The sequence below is a fragment of the Homo sapiens genome, chromosome 6, assembly GCF_000001405.40.
Source record: "Homo sapiens chromosome 6, GRCh38.p14 Primary Assembly".
NCBI classification, from domain to species: domain Eukaryota; kingdom Metazoa; phylum Chordata; class Mammalia; order Primates; family Hominidae; genus Homo; species Homo sapiens.
In genome coordinates, this window is record NC_000006.12 from 152,367,758 (window position 1) to 152,385,271 (window position 17,514).

A 17,514-nucleotide genomic window follows, 5' to 3' on the forward strand; every position below is an offset into this window, starting at 1 on the left:
AGAGTTCTAAAAAAAAAATAATCTGAGATTTTTGTAATATCTCTAAATTTTAAAACATGGGACCATACACATGGTTTTGTTTATCAATTATAGGTTATATCTAACACAGTGAAGACTTTGCAAGAATAATCTACAGCTCTCAAAATATTCATATATCGATTACTTTTGGTATCTAAGTAAATACAAAGGAATGGAAAGATGTTCTTCATTCATTCTAAGATGATTCATTCCTTATCTTAACTTAGGTATGTGCCAGATTTTATAAAAACATCCAAAATAACAATCATAGAATAAAAATGGGTGTAAACATAGACTATTTACTCCCAGACCTAAGCTAGTGTGACTGCTTCAGTGATGTGTATTGAAGACCCAAATGAGCAGACCCTCTGTAAATGCACACTTACAGAACAGATGAGGCCAAATTAAAGACTAAATTATACCAGTGTCCCTATATTCTAACACCTGAAAGTTAAAAACATAGGAAACAAAGGTTATAAGCCACATAAAGCTCAAGATAGGTCTGCAACACACAGTTCAAAATGGGTCTACGTTACCATCTACGTCAAAATGGCTGAATGTTCTAAATGAGATTGTAGTAGGATTCCATTTATTTTCTTCTAAGCTATTTGAAAAGAGGTTTAATCAGTTGTCTGAACCATTGCCAATTTTGAGCTCTGCTCTAGAATCTGAACTGAAACTCTCAATCAACACATCCTTGACTACTATATAATGAATGCAAAGATTCAGATGAATTTTTTAAAAATATCATTATATTTAATCTAATAAAATTTAAACTGTTTAGAATCCATGTTTTTTCTAAAGTAATTTAATCTGGGATTATTTAGAACAAAAACTCTGGGATTATTTAGAACAAAAAAAATCATGTTTATGATTTGAGTCTTCCAAATCAAAGCCCTGGGAAACATATCATTTCAGTATTAAAAGGAATATCTTGTGCAATAATGAAGACTGAAAGTCTCCTCAATCTTTGAAACCTCCTTCGGCCTTTTCAGAGAGCCACATCAAGCTTATGCAACAACAATGATGAACTCAGATTGCAAGGCTAAGGAAACAGCACACACGCCCCTTACTGCTGACCTGGAGACCCACACTGTGGGCGGGTCAGGATGCAATGCACACCCTGCAGAACCTGCTGCAACTCCAATTTTGCGACATCAGTATCACACTCACACACAGCACGTGCCAGGCGTTACCTTTGTTAAATTGCTTAGCGCTAGATACTGAGAAGACAGCTGCGACACTCTGTGCCTAAAGCTCTTGCTGGCAGCTTGTCCTTCCCACAGCTGCTGAGCTTTCTCTTTCAGCCTGTTGAGCTGAGGCTCGTAGCAGTGTATTTCCTCAAGGACAGACTGAAAAGCACAAGCAAGTTACTATTCAGAGGCTGGGGAAAAGCACATCGCGGACGAAGCTTTGGCCCAGAGAACATGGAAATCAACACTGGCAGGCAGTCCGTGTACCCTGGAGGCTTTATTATCTCCAATCTACACACCGTGGAGCACAAATCATGGAAGGAAACAAATCATACTTCCAAGGAAAGTCAGAAAACATAAAATCCACCAGAAATGGGGAAAAACACACTATGTCTCACGGCAGCACAGTCTAACTCAAGGGTGCTGAGCATGCATCTGTAAGGTCGACAGAGGACGGACAAAGACTAGGTCAGATGGGGCTACGGGGAGGCGGGCTCATCACCTGGAGCTTCTGCTGCTCCCTCCTCTTTGCTGGCAGATCATAGAGGCGATTGCTGCTTTCATGGACCATCTTCTCAGTTTTACTCAGCCAGTCCTGGATAGGCTCAGCACTTACTTCAAAGTCCTTCATTTGGATCTTTAGATTCTGCAAGGTTTTAGATAGTGTCCAGGACAAGAAAATATTTTAATAGCAAGTCCAAGGTCCTTCACTTGGCATTCAAAGTCCACCCAGGCTGGGCACAGTGGCTCACGCCTGTAATCCCAGCACTTTGGGTGGCCGAGGTGAGCAGATAGCTTGAGCTCAGGAGTTCAAGACCAGCCTAGGCAACATGATGAGACCCCGTCTCTACTAAAATACAAAAAATTAGCCAGCCATGGTGGGATGTGCCTGTAATCTCAGCTACTCAGGAGTCTGAGGTAGGAGAATTGCTTGAATCCAGGAGGCAGAGGTTGCAGTGAACTGAGATCATGCCACTGCACTCCAGCCTGGGTGACAGAGGGTGACTCTGTCTCAAAAAAAAAAAAAAAAAAAAAAAAAATTCCACAAAAAAAAAACCAAGCCCGCTCCAAAGTCTGAAACACTCCATCTTTTACCTTGGCACAAACACAATTTTTGAATATCCTTTAAGAACTTTTTAGGGTTCTCCTTTTGAAAATAGAATTTTTCCCCCCTAACTCTCTGGCCCACTTCTGAGATCACACCCATTTCTCAACTTCTAGAGCATTTGTTGTCTATACCATGCCTATATACTTCATCATAGACTAGGTTGGATTGTGAATTTTCATCTGACACAGGTGTGCCTTGTCTCCAGAACTAGACTGCAAGCTCCATGAGGGGAGGGCCTGGGTCTGACACTTCCGGAGACACACCATAGTACCTTACAGGAATGTAAAGAAATGTTAGTCAACATTTGGTTGATTTTCATTAATGAGGGTACAAGAAGTAGCATATCCATGTAGTTTATGTGATTATGTTGTTAATAAATAATTTATTCTGATTTATCAAGTGATAAGAAATACTAAATAATGTTATGTGCTTATCACATAAGAATGTCATAATACTTTCACAGTTACTATGTAGTACCCTAGGTGTAAAATGTGTTTGATAAAGTTTTATATGGTACTGTCTAACTTTAGCAAAGGTGTCTGCATCTACTGTCTCTTACTTATAAAGTGGTAGGTGGACGTGAATGTGAATTTGTTATTTATGTTACCCTGTGAGTCAACTAAAGGCTGTAAAAACAACCAGTACTTTAGGTAGTATTGTCCAAGAGGGAGTACATAAAGGTTAGCTGAAGAATCTAAGTGGCAAGAGCTAATGAAACTTATGAGAGAATAGTTCAAGGTTCCACCTGTATCTGGTCTGGGTCGTCTACAATATGGGGAAAATCACATCTGCCTTACTCACCTCTGAGGGATATGGGTTAGCTGTAAGAATCATTTGAAAAGTTAGTATCTCACAAATGTAAAATACCAAAATAACTTCTGGAGTATTCTACCAAAATTTAGGTTGCATGAAGGCAGGGACTTGGTTCTGTTTTATTCTCTGCTATAGCCCCAGAGCCTAGACTAGTCCTTCACAAATAGAAGATGCTCAACAAATATTTGTTGAATAATTAAATTCATAAATTCAAGGTGTTTCCATCTTCCTGTTACTAGAGCCTCATGGGGCCACTTGATATGGTTTGGCTGTGTCCCCCCCCAAATCTCATCTTGAATTGTAGTTCCCATAATCCCCATGTGTCTTGGGAGGGACCCAATGGGAGGTAATTGAATCATGGGGGTGGTTACCCCCATGTTGCTGTTCTCATGATAGTGAGTTCTCATGAGATCTGACAGTTTTATAATGGACTTTTCCCGCTTTGGCTCATACTTCTCCTTCCTGCCACCATATGAAGAAGGATGTATTTGCTTCCCCTTCTGCCATGATTGTAAATTTCCTGAGGCCTCCCCAGCCCTGCAGAATTGTGAGTCAATTCAACCTCTCTCCTTTATAAATTACCCAGTCTTGGGTCTGTCCTTATAACATCGTGAGAATGAACTAATACACCACAAAACAGGGCAAATGGGGGACCATGATCAGGAATTTAGGTTCTAAAAAGAAAGGAGATGAGAGGGGAGGGGAGGAGAGGAGAGGGGAAAGGGAGGGGAGGAGAGGGGAGAGGAGGGGAGGGCAAGGGGAAGAGGAAGGCAGAGAGAGAGGGGAGGGGAAGGGGGAGGGGGAGGAGAGGGGAAGGGGTTGGGGAAGGGACGGGTAGGGAGAGAGGGAGGGGAGAGGAGGGGAAGGGAAGGGGGAAGGGAGGAGAGGGGAGGGGAAGGCAGGGAAGGGAAAGGAAAGGATAAGAAAGGACAGGAAAGGACAGGACAGGACAGGACAGGAAAGGAAAGGAAAGGAAAGGAAAGGAAAGGAAAGGAAAGGAAAGGAAAGGAAAGGAAAGGAAAGGAAAGGAAAGGACAGGACAGGACAGGAAAGGAAAGGAAAGGAAAGGAAAGGAAAAGAAGAGAAAGGAAGGGAAAAAGGAAAGGAAAGAATCAAGTAAAACAGATAGATACCTATTCTGAGGGGAACAGCAGATTAAGAAAACAGGCAATTCATGACCTACTCACCTACTCTTGGGCATCTCTTGAACTAGATAACCTTGTAATCAATGCTAAATATGCTACACTCAGCAGCTGATGCTTCAGAGCTCAGACCACATAGCATTAACGATCCCTGAAGGATTAAAGAAACATTTCTAGGCACAATGGTTATCACTCTGTTAAATGGAGGATGCTGGCCACGAAAAAACAGTCACCATTACAAAACAGAGATCAATGGTCTTGGATCAGGAAATAATTGAGGAAATACACATTTTCTCTTACTGAATATTATTTCTCTATCATTATCTTTTTCCAACCTTCATTAATAATGGTCACAAACAAATGAAGGATCTATTCTGCCAAAAAGTGTTTTAAAAGGAAAAGATACCCTCTATGCCTCTAAATTTTCCTCTGAAAGAAGAGTCGATACATAAAATAGATAGTCTCAGACGGAAAAAAAATAATTATATTGTGGCAGTAATTATTTTATGGTTATAATAGATTCATCTTCTATTGTGTGTGGAGAAAATAAAATTATATAAACATTGTTTCTGCATACTTAATGCCTAAAAACCTACTACCTGGTATTTGCATTAGTTATAATATACACTCTCATCTGCAGCATTTTGCAGCTTATGTAGATATTCCTGATCATTCTCCTAGACCACCTTCCAGAAATGAGACAGTTCACATGAAAGGCTAAGTGTTCTGCTGAAATGTAAAACTGGCTGTTCCTGCTGGGAGAGTGCAAGGCCAAGTCAGTGACAATAGACCCTAACATGCAGGAAGCTACTTAATTCTTCAGGGAGGCTCCCACTTCTAGCATTGGGCTATTCCTTACTGTTAGCCCATTGTCTTCTTATGTTCTGAGAGGGGTAACCAAAATCATTGACAAGGGGGCTTTGATATACAGAAACTGTGATTTCACTAACAACAACAACAATAACAAATAACACAGAATGCTTCCATGTGGTTGGCTATATATACCTCTAGAGCAGATTCTTTTTGGTGGAGATTTGAATGAAAATTTTTCCAATCTTCTTTTGCAGCTGTAACTTTGGCCTGGATCCCTTTCGCTTTCTCTTTGGTCAGCAGGGTACTCAGAAGTTCCCCTTTAGACAGCATCATGTTTAGCTTGTGCTGTCCATTTTCACTTTCTGACAAAAACTCCTATAAAAGAAAATATAGAATTAGCCATAATGAAAATATTGTGTGTTGTTTCTATTTTTTCTTTTCTTTTTTTTTTTTGAGATGGAGTCTCACTCTGTCACTCAGGCTGGAGTGCAGTAGTGCGATCTCGGCTCACTGCAGCCTCCGTCTTCTGCGTTCAAGCAATTCTCCTGCCTCAGCCTCCCAAGTAGCTGGGACTACAGGTGCATGCTGCCACACCCAGATAATTTTTTTGTATTTTTAGTAAAGACGGGGTTTCACCATGTTGGCCAGGATGGTCTTGATCTCCTGACCTTGTGATCTGCCCACCTTGGCATCCCAAAGTGCTGGGATTACAGGCGTGAGCCACCACACCCACCTTCTATTATTTCTTAATAAAGTCAAAGAAAAGGAAGTAAGCTCTTTTTACTGTATACGTTAAATGACCCAGGTTATCCTTTAATAGTCAAGTTGCAAACTACTTTATTTACCAATCTAAATTCTGACTTGTCTCAAAAAGGTGGTGAGCAATCTCATAAAATATTAAAAATTTGATAAAAATAATCAGGAGAAGAAATGAAGACCAAGGGAAGATAAGAGCTGTAAAATAAAATAAACTCTGGCTAAGACTCGTTTACAAAACAAATGCCTTGTAGTTCCATATAGTTGGTGGAGCTGGATTATGATTTTGGCTCTGAGGATCCTAGCTGCCGAAGTGAAAGAGTAAACACAACCAGGGACAAGACTCGCAGAGCCTACTGGATAAAAACACATAATCTGCTCAGCAGAAGCACAATTCTCCCTAGGAAAAGACAGCAGATGAATTTCCGTGGGGAATCTTATTCAAATAAATGCTATTAAATGGAGCAGATTACATTATTAGTAGCAGCTTATATAAAAAAATAACAAGAGAGTGTTTCATAGGGTTGTCCTTATGAGGACAAGTCAATGACCTAGTGCCAAAGTGTAGTTTAATAAAGTGTAGCTACAGTATATACTTTTCCTTTCATGTGGCTAGAGCTCAAAGAATAGTCTTCCTCTAGAAAAATGGGTAGATTCTGTATTCTACAGTCGATTCTCAATATTTTCAAGTGCTAAAGAAGAAATTGAAAGCACAAGCTCAAAGTTATTTATTCTGACAAGAAACAGAAGCATAGATATTTTGTCATAGATTTTGATTAAAGAAACTTTGCCAGGACATTTGTCTTAATGGATGGCCATCCCTGTCCATGGAGGCATGCTGTGGTGGGAGGGTCAGAGAAAAGGCCAAAGGCTATCCTCTAAAACAGTACTAGCCATGTGTGGTGGCTCATGCCTGTAATCCCAGCACTTTGAGAGGCCGAGGCGGGCACATCAGTTGAGCCCAGGACTTCGAGACCAGCCTGAGCAACATGGTGAAACCCCTTCTCTACCAAAAATACAAAAGTTAGCTGGGCGTGTTGACGCATGTCTGTAATCCCAGATACTCAGGAGGCTGAGGCAGGAGGATTGCTTGAACGTGGGAGGCAGAGGTTGCAGTGAACCAAGATAGGGCCACTGGACTCCAGCCTGGGTGACAGAGTAAACACTTTTCTCAAAAATAAATAAATAAATAAATAAATAAAAAGAAAAGAAAAATAGCACTGTGTTTCTCCAATATAGAAAAATAGGTGATTGAGTTTCTGCAGTTCTACCCACCAGCCTGAAGCAAAACGGGAAGAATTTTACATTTTATTTTTAGTTTATTATTTTATTTTATTTTATTTTATTTTATTATTTTTGAGACAGAGTCTTGCTCTATAGCCCAGGCTGGAGTGCAGTGGCGCAATCTTGGCTCACTGCAATCTCTGCCTCCTGGGTTCAGGCAATTCTCCTGTCTCAGCCTCCCAAGTAGATAGGATTACGGGCGCCTGCCACCACGCTTGGCTAATTTTTGTATTTTATTAGTAGAGACAGGGTTTCTCCATGTTGGCCAGGCTGGTCTCAAACTCCTGATCTTAAGTGATCCACCCACTGTGGCCTCCTAAAGTGCTGGGATTATAGGTGTGAGCCGCCGCGCCTGGCTTGGAAGAATTTTAAATGGAGCAAATTTTCACAGGCAGAGTTGTCCTGTTATATTAAGTTATTAACCAAGAATTTAAAAAGGTGAACTACATATGAACAATACTGTTTCAGAGTCTGCTCCTACTAGAGACACTTCAAGCACGAGTGCTTACACACAGTGTTCTACATACCTGTGCCCTCTGAAAGAAACTCAAATTTCATAACCAATCACTCAGAACTGCTGCTATGTGAAATGAGCGGACATACAGGTACGAAAAGCAATTTCAATAACTGTGCTTAAAAAGTGCTGCTATTGAATGAAGGTGGTATGTGAATTAGCACCATGAAGTTACAGTTAGGTTAAAAAAAAAGACTAGAAAAATAAACCCAAATGAACAAACATAAAATATAACCGCAGCTCTGGCTATCTTAACACACCAGCTCTGTGACCTCACTGACGCTTTTACCCTATTGTACACTGACAGTAACAAATTTACATACCTGAAATGGTTGTTGTGAAAATTAAATGAGAAAATCCACTTAAAGTGCTCAGGAACAATGCTTGTCACATAGAAAAAACGTTTTATTATTTCCTGGATCACCATTAATATATAAAAATAGTGTGCATTTATATAAATGAACTGGTTCCTCTTCATATACAGAAGCAATTGTTTTAAGTGGGGATTTATTTGAAATTTGAATTTCTTACGCAAAACTTTTATATGTTCTGCCCTTCTGAAAAGATCTAGAGAAGCGGTCCCCAACCTTTTTGGCACCAGGGAGTGGTTTCAGGGAAGACAATTTTTCCACAGATGGGGTGGGGCAGGGGGGATGGTTTCGGGATGAAACTGTTCTACCTCAGATCATCAGGCATTAGTTAGATTCTTAGAAGGAGCACACAGCCTAGTTCCTCTGTGTGCACAGTTCACAATGGGGTTCAGGCTCCTATGAGAATCTGATGCTACCGCTGATCTGACAGGAGGTGGAGCTCAGGCAGTAACGCTCATTGGCCTGCTGCTCACCTCCTGCTGTGCGGCCTGGTTCCTAACAGGCCAGGGACCTGTACCAGTCCGCGGCCCAGGAGATGGGGACCCTTGATTTAGAGGTTAACTTTAGTTCACATCAGCACTGCTACTAGAATTAATTGATAACACCCTTACCTGTATTTTCTGAAGACTAGTTGAAACTTCACTTATATTTTGAGGTATATCAAAACACTTGGCGGTAGTGATTTTTGCATTAACCAACCACTGCTGGAAATCCCTGAAGGCCTTTCGAAATCTTTGCTGTAAAATCTGTTCTTTATTCTGGCAGCCCTTGGATGCTTGCAAACAAAGACTGAAAAGGTGACGCAAAAATTTAATGGCAGGAAAAAGCGATAAAGTTGATGAAAATCATGTTTGATAGAATCACCAGTTCTTAGAATGTGCACTTACCTCACTTAGTAATATATTTAATGCTGAACTAATATTATTTTGAAATTACACCTTAAAATAAACTTCTAGCTTCTAATTTGTATAAAAATATCTTGAACACCAATAAGGTTCATGCTCACCAATTATACTCTTTAATCAAGCCAGAAACTTTTCCACTGTAGGTACTCAGGTCTCTGGAAAATCGACAAAGTTCATTCAGCTGAGACTTGAGATCCTCTGTTCTAGGCTCTGCTTTTTGCAAAGCATCCAGTATCTCCTGTTCAGAAATAATGAGACAAAGAAGCGAGCACTTACATTGGGTGATCTCCATATCTTCACACTATACATGCATCAATCATATTATAAATTATTAGTGAGAGAAGAACCAACATGGTAGATTCAATGAAGAAATGAAGCCTGTTTTCAGGATTCCTCTGACAAATAATAGCACCTGGCTCATTTGTCCCTTTTTTCTTGCCATGGATAGACACTCTAGCATCAAATACTGCAAAGTAGTTAAGTGATTAAGTGGTGAAATGACTTAAAAATAAGACAAGAAAAAGAAAAAATAGCCTACATTGTCTATAAATAGTTGGACTAGGCCATCAGGAGATATGTATATTGTTTAAAGGTGAAAACAAATTATTTTAAAGAAAAGCAACACTTATTTTGGATTAAATATATATATTAAGGGCCGGGTGTGGTGGCTCACGCCTGTAATTCCAGCACTTTGGGAGGCCGAGGAGGGTGGATCACCTGAGGTCAGGAGTTCGAGACCAGCCTGACCAACATGGTGAACCCCATCTCTACTGAAAATACAAAAATTAGCCAGTTGTGGTGGTGGGCGCCTGTAATCCCAGCTACTTGGGAGGCTGAGGCAGGAGAATCCCTAGAACCTGGGAGGTGGAGGTTGCAGTGAGCCGAGATCGTGCCATTGCACTCCAGCCTGGGGGACAGAACGAAACTCCGTCTTAAAAAAAAAAAAAAAAAAAAAAAAAAAAAAAAATATATATATATATATATATATATATATATATCTCCAAAATTGAATCCTGTTTCAATTGATTTTATGTTGTATATACAGTTAACTTTTACATTAAAAATTTCTTATAATCCATGAGTCTGGTTTAAATAGTAATTCATTTATTTCATAGTTTCATTCATAAAGTCATCAAATATTTGCTAAATGTTTACCGTGTGCCAAGCATTTTGCTGGATTCTGGGACCCAAGTCCCCCCACGAATAAAGGTAAGATTCTTGTTCTTGAAGAGCTCACAATTTAATAGATGAGGGAGACACATGAATAGCTACATTACTGTGTACACCCAATCCAAAATAAAGCCTTAGGACTTGAAAAGTACACCTCTGAAATCGAGGCCATGGTCATCTGAGTTACACAAGGTGCTTTGCACTCAGAGTGTTCCTCTCATAGGATTGTCACAAGGAACAAATGAAATCATGAATGTCAAATACTTAGCACAGTTCCTAGCACACTAAGTGTCTAATTCATAAAATCAGAAGGAGAATGACTCCCAAATATGTAAACACTGTGGATAACAGTAGCACTGAAGCAAAAAAACAAAATAAATTAAGGAGGAGGGGCAAAAAGATGAGTAACTACTCAAATAGCTTTGCTGTGACCATTATTGTCTGATATTTGTCAAGAGATGGCCCAGATTTGTAAAGAAACCACATCCCTCAACAAACCAGCCCTGTGCTTCATTCCTCGTCCTGGTAAATGGCACCACTGTCCCCCGCTGATGTCAATCAGAAGATTAAGCATCATCCGGGCCTCTCCCTTTGTTTCCTTTCTCACTCTATGCAAGAGATATCCAGGCTAGCTTATTCTGTGTCTTAGCTCCTTTCATCATTCCCCTCTTTGCCTCTGCACGTTGACTTTCACAGACCCACTTACATATTCATTATTTCTTTTGGGGGTGGCACTACATCCTCCTAATCTGATTCCTCCTCTCTAGGTTCCTCTCTTGTGTTTTCTGATTCCTCAATGATCCTGCATCTTGATGCTGTTCCTCTACCTCACCTGTCAGGTCACATTTTAATTATACCTCAAGACTCAACTCAAATAACAACTCCTTTAAGTACCCCCTGCCCTCCTTCCCACCTCTTCGGGTTTCTCATCTGAGGATACACAGGACCTTGCAGACATTCATCACAAGGAGTATCCACATTGGCTTTATGCTTGCGTATCTCCCCACCTAGGCTGTGATTATGAGAGCAGGAATGACATTCTCTTGGTTTGTCAATTCTTTATTTAACTCGGTGTCTGGGCTGGAGGAGTCTAAGACATTTTTATTTACAAAAATTCATCAACAACTAAACAATTTCTCTCTGAAATTCCAAACACTAAACTAGGACCAACTATTTTACACCATATGGAACCTTTTACTTAAGACAGAACATTGTAAGAACTAAAGAAACTTAGCATTCAACAAAAACATAAAAATACTGGAGATTCAAGTCAGTTACTTATGAATGGGATGACATTAAAAGTGAAAAGTTTTTGACCAAAACGTTACATTTAAAACATTTCTATAACTTCATCCTAAAGTATGTCAGTAGAGTCAATATATAAATATCAGCTTATGTATTTCTGATTCTGTTAAGTTCTAGAATGCATCTTTCCACCTTATACAGCTTAAGAAAATTATTTCCAAAGCTAATATCCCAAAGGATATTAAGATAAATGAGTTTCGCAAACATAGTAAATAGAATTATTTTTACAATATTATATTATATACTTTATAGATCATCTGTTTTTATGTTTTAAAGAATTTCTTGAGTATTGTCATCTAATTGCATAAAATAAATACTTTAATTCTTATTGTGATCATCAACAATGACAAGTCCTCCCTAAAAGCAAAACAATGCCCTAAGAACCCTAGCATATTTACTATTTTGTTAACATTTTCTTACATATTCATTGTGATAGAAATATCTCCACTTTTAGATAAAATGCCATTATTAGAAATAAAAGAAAACATGAATATTGAGAAGCAATGTAGCATTGTCATCAAAAGCATTGACCCTGGAGTCAAATCTGGAAGCAGACATACACAGAGGGCTGTCACATTTGAACTATTTAACACAACTGAAAACCCATATTTACTACTGCATTCTCATGTATATTTTTATAGGCCTCAACCATTATTTTTACTAATAATATCAACGTAAAAATAATGAACAGAATAGTAATGTAATCTAGGCACAGCCAAATCTTTCCTTTTTAAAAATTTCACTCTGTGACTGGAATAGAAAGAAAGGGAAAGAAAAAGGAACCAAGAAAGTGTAACTGATTTTTTCATATTATACCATGTAGAGCAATTATCAACTTCTTTGTCCCTCTGTGACAGAACTGATTTCTATGCTTTATTCTGGTACATAAATCTAAAGGACAGGAAATGGAACAGAATAACAAAAACAAACCCCCAAACCTAGAATCATTATAAATAGAGTAGCATAAAGAGGTAGAAAGCTTTATTTTATGGCATGCTGCATTTGTTTCAAATACTTGATTTAAAACCAGACACTGCTGGAAATACTACATGACTTTCTTACTGGCAGGAGCTATTTTGAAATGATTGTAATATAAATAGGAGCAGAGAAGTTTACTAAATTTCCTTTTAAGGACATCCATGAATCAGGGCATTATAAAACTGGAAATATTGAAAAGGCTTTCAAAGATACTGTTTAACAGTGAAAGAAACGAAGAAGAGGTTACACTCTTGCTCATTCTTCGGTCTCCCTTGTAGGCTTCCCTTTCTCACATTCTAAAGAAGCTGCCATTAGCTTCAAAAAAAAAAAAAAAGTCTCGGGAAGGTGACCAGGGAGGGTGACGTAGAGTTCTGTTAACAGGCTAATTCAAGAACAGCTGTCAAAACCACACAGAGGAGAGCTAATCGGGGAGATAACTATTTGCTGTGCTGTAGGAGATTACCAAGTGAGTCTTTTAAGGCTATAAATTCAATCATTTAGTTGTATGAAATAGTTAACTGGCAAGAAAACAGCTATGACTCTCTGTCTATTTATGCCCCTGCCCACAGGCCATTTTTCAGACTGAATGGCTGAATACAGTATTACAGACTCTTACACCATAGGAATGAAAGTAAAATGTCTCCACTAACAACAAATGTTTCCTACCGCAAATAATAACCCAAATCTTTATTTTTACAAAAGTTTGATATATAAGAAAAGGAAACAAATCAGACTTTGCTTATTTAATGAGATAAATACTTCTTCCAAGTGTGCATGTTGCGTGTTTTTAGTTAGCAAGATTTTTTTTTTAAGGAATGATGAAAGTCAAAACATTTTTTAAAGCATAACCACCAATAGAAAACAGGAAGCCAACTTACTTGTCCTTTGTGCCAGCATTCCACTATCTCCTCATCCGTGTTCTTGCCTTCCAGGAGGGTTAACTGCTGAGCCCAGGTTTTCAGAAGGGCACTGAACTGTTCCAGGGCCTGCTCCAGTTGAGCCACTTGGCCTGAGAATTCCTGCTCCGAAAGGGCCATCTGGCTGACCAGGTTCTCCAAACAGCTCTGCGTTTGGAATACACTGTCTTCCCACTGCTTCCAGTCGGCACGCAGGGCCTGCATCTCCGTGTGCATGAGCTCACACCCACTGGCAGTTGTGTTCTGTTTCACTTCGGGAGCCAGCGACTCCACTCTGCTGAGACGGCTTGCACCAATCTCTCTGGAATCTATCAGCTCCTGTAATGGAATATCACCATGGTAACTGAAGAGCCTGTGAGTCACTTGGACTGCAAGTTTTCAACTGTGTACACAGGGGGACCCTGTCCTGCCAGGAAGTTTTAACAAGTGTGCCACAAGGACCCAGAATCAATTCATCTGTCCACTCTTAAATTATAATAGCGGGAGTTGTCATCACGAGTGCCTAAGGCTTATGGCAAAAAAATCCCGAGAATCCTCAATATCCTGAAACAGACTAAACAGAGACCCTGAAATCAGGCATTATTCGCACACGTGAAAATGTTTAGTGACTCAAGTGTTTGCCTGTGGTGGATTGCTCCTGTGAATGATTAAACCCATATTTCCCTCAAAGTGGATGCTCAAGTAAATAAAGATCGTGGCAGAACTGTGTTCTGCTCACGGTCTCTATACTCAATTCATCTTCTTCAACAGGGTGGTGGCTTAAATCACACTTCCATTCTACTAGGAATCAAGCAGACTCATCACAGCAAAAGAATGAGCCCTACTCGATTCCAAATACCTCAATACTAAGTAAACATTTTTGTAGCATATAAAATGAATAATTCATTCATAGACTGACTTACTCAAAAGTTTAAAGTAACCTCTAGACTGAGTACATTTATTAGTATTTTTTTACCTTAAAAAAGTCACTAGAAATTTAACAGTTTAGCTATAGCCAAGTTAACAATTTAGCTCGATCTTAAAGCACACAAATACTGTAAAGGAAAACAAGATAAAATTAAATCACATTGTTAAATTGATATAATTGCAGCATTTCTGAGAATAGATTCTCTTACTAAAATTTTTCTTGGTGAAATAATCATCCGATGTTTATATATTTACATATCTATTGCTAAAGGCAGGATTTTGTTAATATTATTACAAAATTATGACTTTACTACCGGATTAAATAGAAATAAAAGATAATCAGGCACAAAAATGTTCAAGAAGAAAATCAATGACCAATTAGCAAGTAAAGAAACATTGGAATGTTAAGTATGAAGCATGCTTAATAAATTATGTTAAGCATAAAGTATGTCTTAACTAGTCTATATAATATAGTTTGCATCTCATTAAATTAACTTGAAATAAATATATCTGTTCATAATTATATACAATAGAGCCATATTTTAATATAGATCATTTGAAAGTATTTAGTATTCAGTTGTGCAGTAGTCTAAATTACAATGACATGAAAACCCTTACACACAGCATGATATGTATATTCAACCTTCTCAGCAGCAGGATTCTAAAAACCATCACTGTTTATTAGTGTGTATAGTAGTTATTTGATGAAGAAAAAAATCTAACTTTTTAACCAGTGCTATGTCTAACTAATAGACCTTAATACTTGTAATTATTTTGCCTTTGTGAGCAATTTCAAATTTGAAGTTTCCCAAAATACTCTCTTATGCTTTATCCCAATTTTCCTTAGCATGAAAATGGAACACTTCAATATTTGCAATCAGAAATCTAGTCATTCAGAATTTGAATAAGGACATCATCATTGTCAAGAGTTTTGAAATGGCTTTTGCATATATTTTCTTATCTTGTATTTACATTTTTAAACATATGATATACACATACACACATATGTACATTCCCGCCCTCACACCCATATACATTTTGCTTTAGAGTTGCCTTTTCTCAGTGATTATTCCTGTGGATGTGATAGGTATGGTGTTGAAGGACAGAGGAGGTGCTTTATGTATTTCCTCCAAGGTTTTTAAAACCACCCACACACTAACCTACATTCAGGCTGGACCTGAACTTCTGAGAGGCAGTTTCTGATAGTCTTCACTTTCTCCATCCCAATTTCTTTCTGCCAATTCCTTCTCCCATATTCCTTGTCTTTATGGAAGCACTTTATAAAGGCTTTCTCAATAAAAAAGAGTATTTGTCAACCCAGGAAGCAGCCTTTGTGAAAGAATTATCTTACTTTCTCTTATTTATTAACTTTTTGAAACATTAGTCCATTTCTGCTATCTCCTCTTCCTCACTTGCCATTTACTCCTAAATCCATGTAACCTGGTTTCTCACCTTCCCTTGCTGTGCAAATGTTTCTCAGACTGGTTGCCCAACAGCCTCATTGTCAAACCTAGTTGGGATTCTTTAGTATTCCTCCTAATGGCAGCCTCCTGCTGTACCTGTGATGGCGACCACCTTCTCTACTTAGAGCCTCAGTGGCATCACACCCTCCTACTCTTCCCCTTCTTGTTTTTCCCCTCCTTTTTCTCTCTACCTTTCAAATCATTTTCTCCTATGGCTCATTAAATATTGGTAGTACCCAGCTTTTGGTCCTGTGCCCATTGTTCTATTTGCTCTATACATAGGTCTTGGTTTTATCTGTTTTAGTGGCTTTAACAACAAATTAGACACTAATCACTTTCAACTCCATGTCTTCTATCCGTCTTCTTAACCTGAAATTCAGTCTTGAATTTACAACTGCCCCCAAGACATTACTACTACCTGGCAGTTCAAACTGGATCTGATCATCAATGAACAGCTCATGTCTTCACCTCTATCACCAGGCTCCTCCGCATGCAATTATTTTCCTCAGGTGGTAATAGTCCTGTGGATTCTAGGCAAAGACTTGACCATCATCCTTGACTCTTCCCACCTTGTCATGCTATAGCCCATTAATCAATCATTTACCAAATCCACTGGATTTTCTTATTGGGTGTGTTCTATGTGCCAGGCATGATGCTACAGGTTTTATGTGTATGATCTAATTTGCTTGTCAAAACAACTTTATCAGACAGGTACTATTTTCATGTATGTATTTTTTAACCAATTGAGAGGTGGAGGCTTGAGGACATCAGGTAACTTGCTGACAGACACGGCTAGAAAGCCAATAGAAGGAGGATGTGGCATTGGGTTTCTTTGATTCCAGAGCCTGAACTCTAATAGTACAGTAAGCTCTCATTACATTTTTTGTATTATTTTATAAAGACCAGTTTGTGGATCGCTGTTCCTCACTAGACTGCAAGTTCCTTAGGGAATGCACAGTCCTGGCTGAATAAATGGATAGATGGGTAGATGGATAGATGGAAGGATGGATGAATAAATCAGAATATTACGAAGAAATGTATCAAAGAAGAATTTTAAAGAATAACACACAAAAAAAGGACTTAAAAAGTGGTTTTATGTGATTATCTCAGTTAAAACATACATAGTCATAAGATTTAAATAAGATAATACTTTTAAAGCACTTAGAAGCAGATCTTCAGGGACCGGGCACCATGGCTCATGCCTGTAATTCCAGCACTTTGGGAGGCCAAGGCAGGCTGATCACCTGAGGTCAGGAGTTTGAGATCAGCCTGGCCAACATGGTGAAGCCCCGTCTCTACTAAAATAAATACAAAAGTTAGCCAGACGTGGTGGTCAGCACCTGTAATCGCAGCTACTCGGGAGGCTGAGGCAGGGAGAATCACTTGAACCCAGGAGGCAGAGGTTGCAGTGAGCCAAGATCGTGCCACTGCACTCCAGCCTGGGTGACAGAGCAAGACTCCATTTCAAAAAAAAAAAAAAATAGATCTGCAAAATGTGGTTACAATTGTAACCATCAGCTATAATTTTTATGACTTTTATGTTCTGATCTTGGAATCAAAACACAATCTGAGTTTTAAATTCCTGGCCACAATTACACTATTTATTCCTAACATTTCCTCCTCTAAAACTAAACCACTGAGGATTTCATTGCTCCTTCATTTTAATGTTAAAATCCATTTTCCATGGGGGAAAATGATTACAATTTAATATTTAAGCAACTAGAAATTTACTAAAAGATACCAGAGTCTGAAACTCCCCCAGAAAGGTAAATTTCTGTTTTAGAAATTGTCCTTATGCAGAGTAAACGAGATGATAATTTTAAGGTCCTTTGAAGTACTCCCTTCTATTATGTTGTTG

The 17,514-nt window shown here is 38.8% G+C and overlaps 1 protein-coding gene and 1 long non-coding RNA gene across 50 annotated transcripts in view; one reads left to right on the forward strand and one right to left on the reverse strand.

The window, feature by feature from the left end:
- SYNE1 (spectrin repeat containing nuclear envelope protein 1) overlaps positions 1-17,514 on the reverse strand; it is a 515,676-nt gene that overhangs the window by 246,071 nt on the left and 252,091 nt on the right. For 48 of the 49 annotated variants that reach the window (XM_047418508.1, XM_017010610.2, XM_017010609.2 and 45 more), the window contains 6 exons: positions 13,249-13,605; positions 9,019-9,155; positions 8,624-8,801; positions 5,280-5,462; positions 1,714-1,857; positions 1,215-1,370 (listed from right to left, as the gene is read on the reverse strand). In XM_047418508.1, coding sequence (XP_047274464.1) covers positions 1,215-1,370; positions 1,714-1,857; positions 5,280-5,462; positions 8,624-8,801; positions 9,019-9,155; positions 13,249-13,605 — 1,155 coding nt within the window. The remainder of the gene's footprint in view (positions 1-1,214; positions 1,371-1,713; positions 1,858-5,279; positions 5,463-8,623; positions 8,802-9,018; positions 9,156-13,248; positions 13,606-17,514) is intronic. The other variant, XM_006715421.3, reaches the window with a different exon arrangement.
- SYNE1-AS1 (SYNE1 antisense RNA 1) lies at positions 12,773-13,956 on the forward strand. The gene is made up of 2 exons (NR_120501.1): positions 12,773-12,836; positions 13,303-13,956. It is a non-coding gene; the product is annotated as an SYNE1 antisense RNA 1 (long non-coding RNA).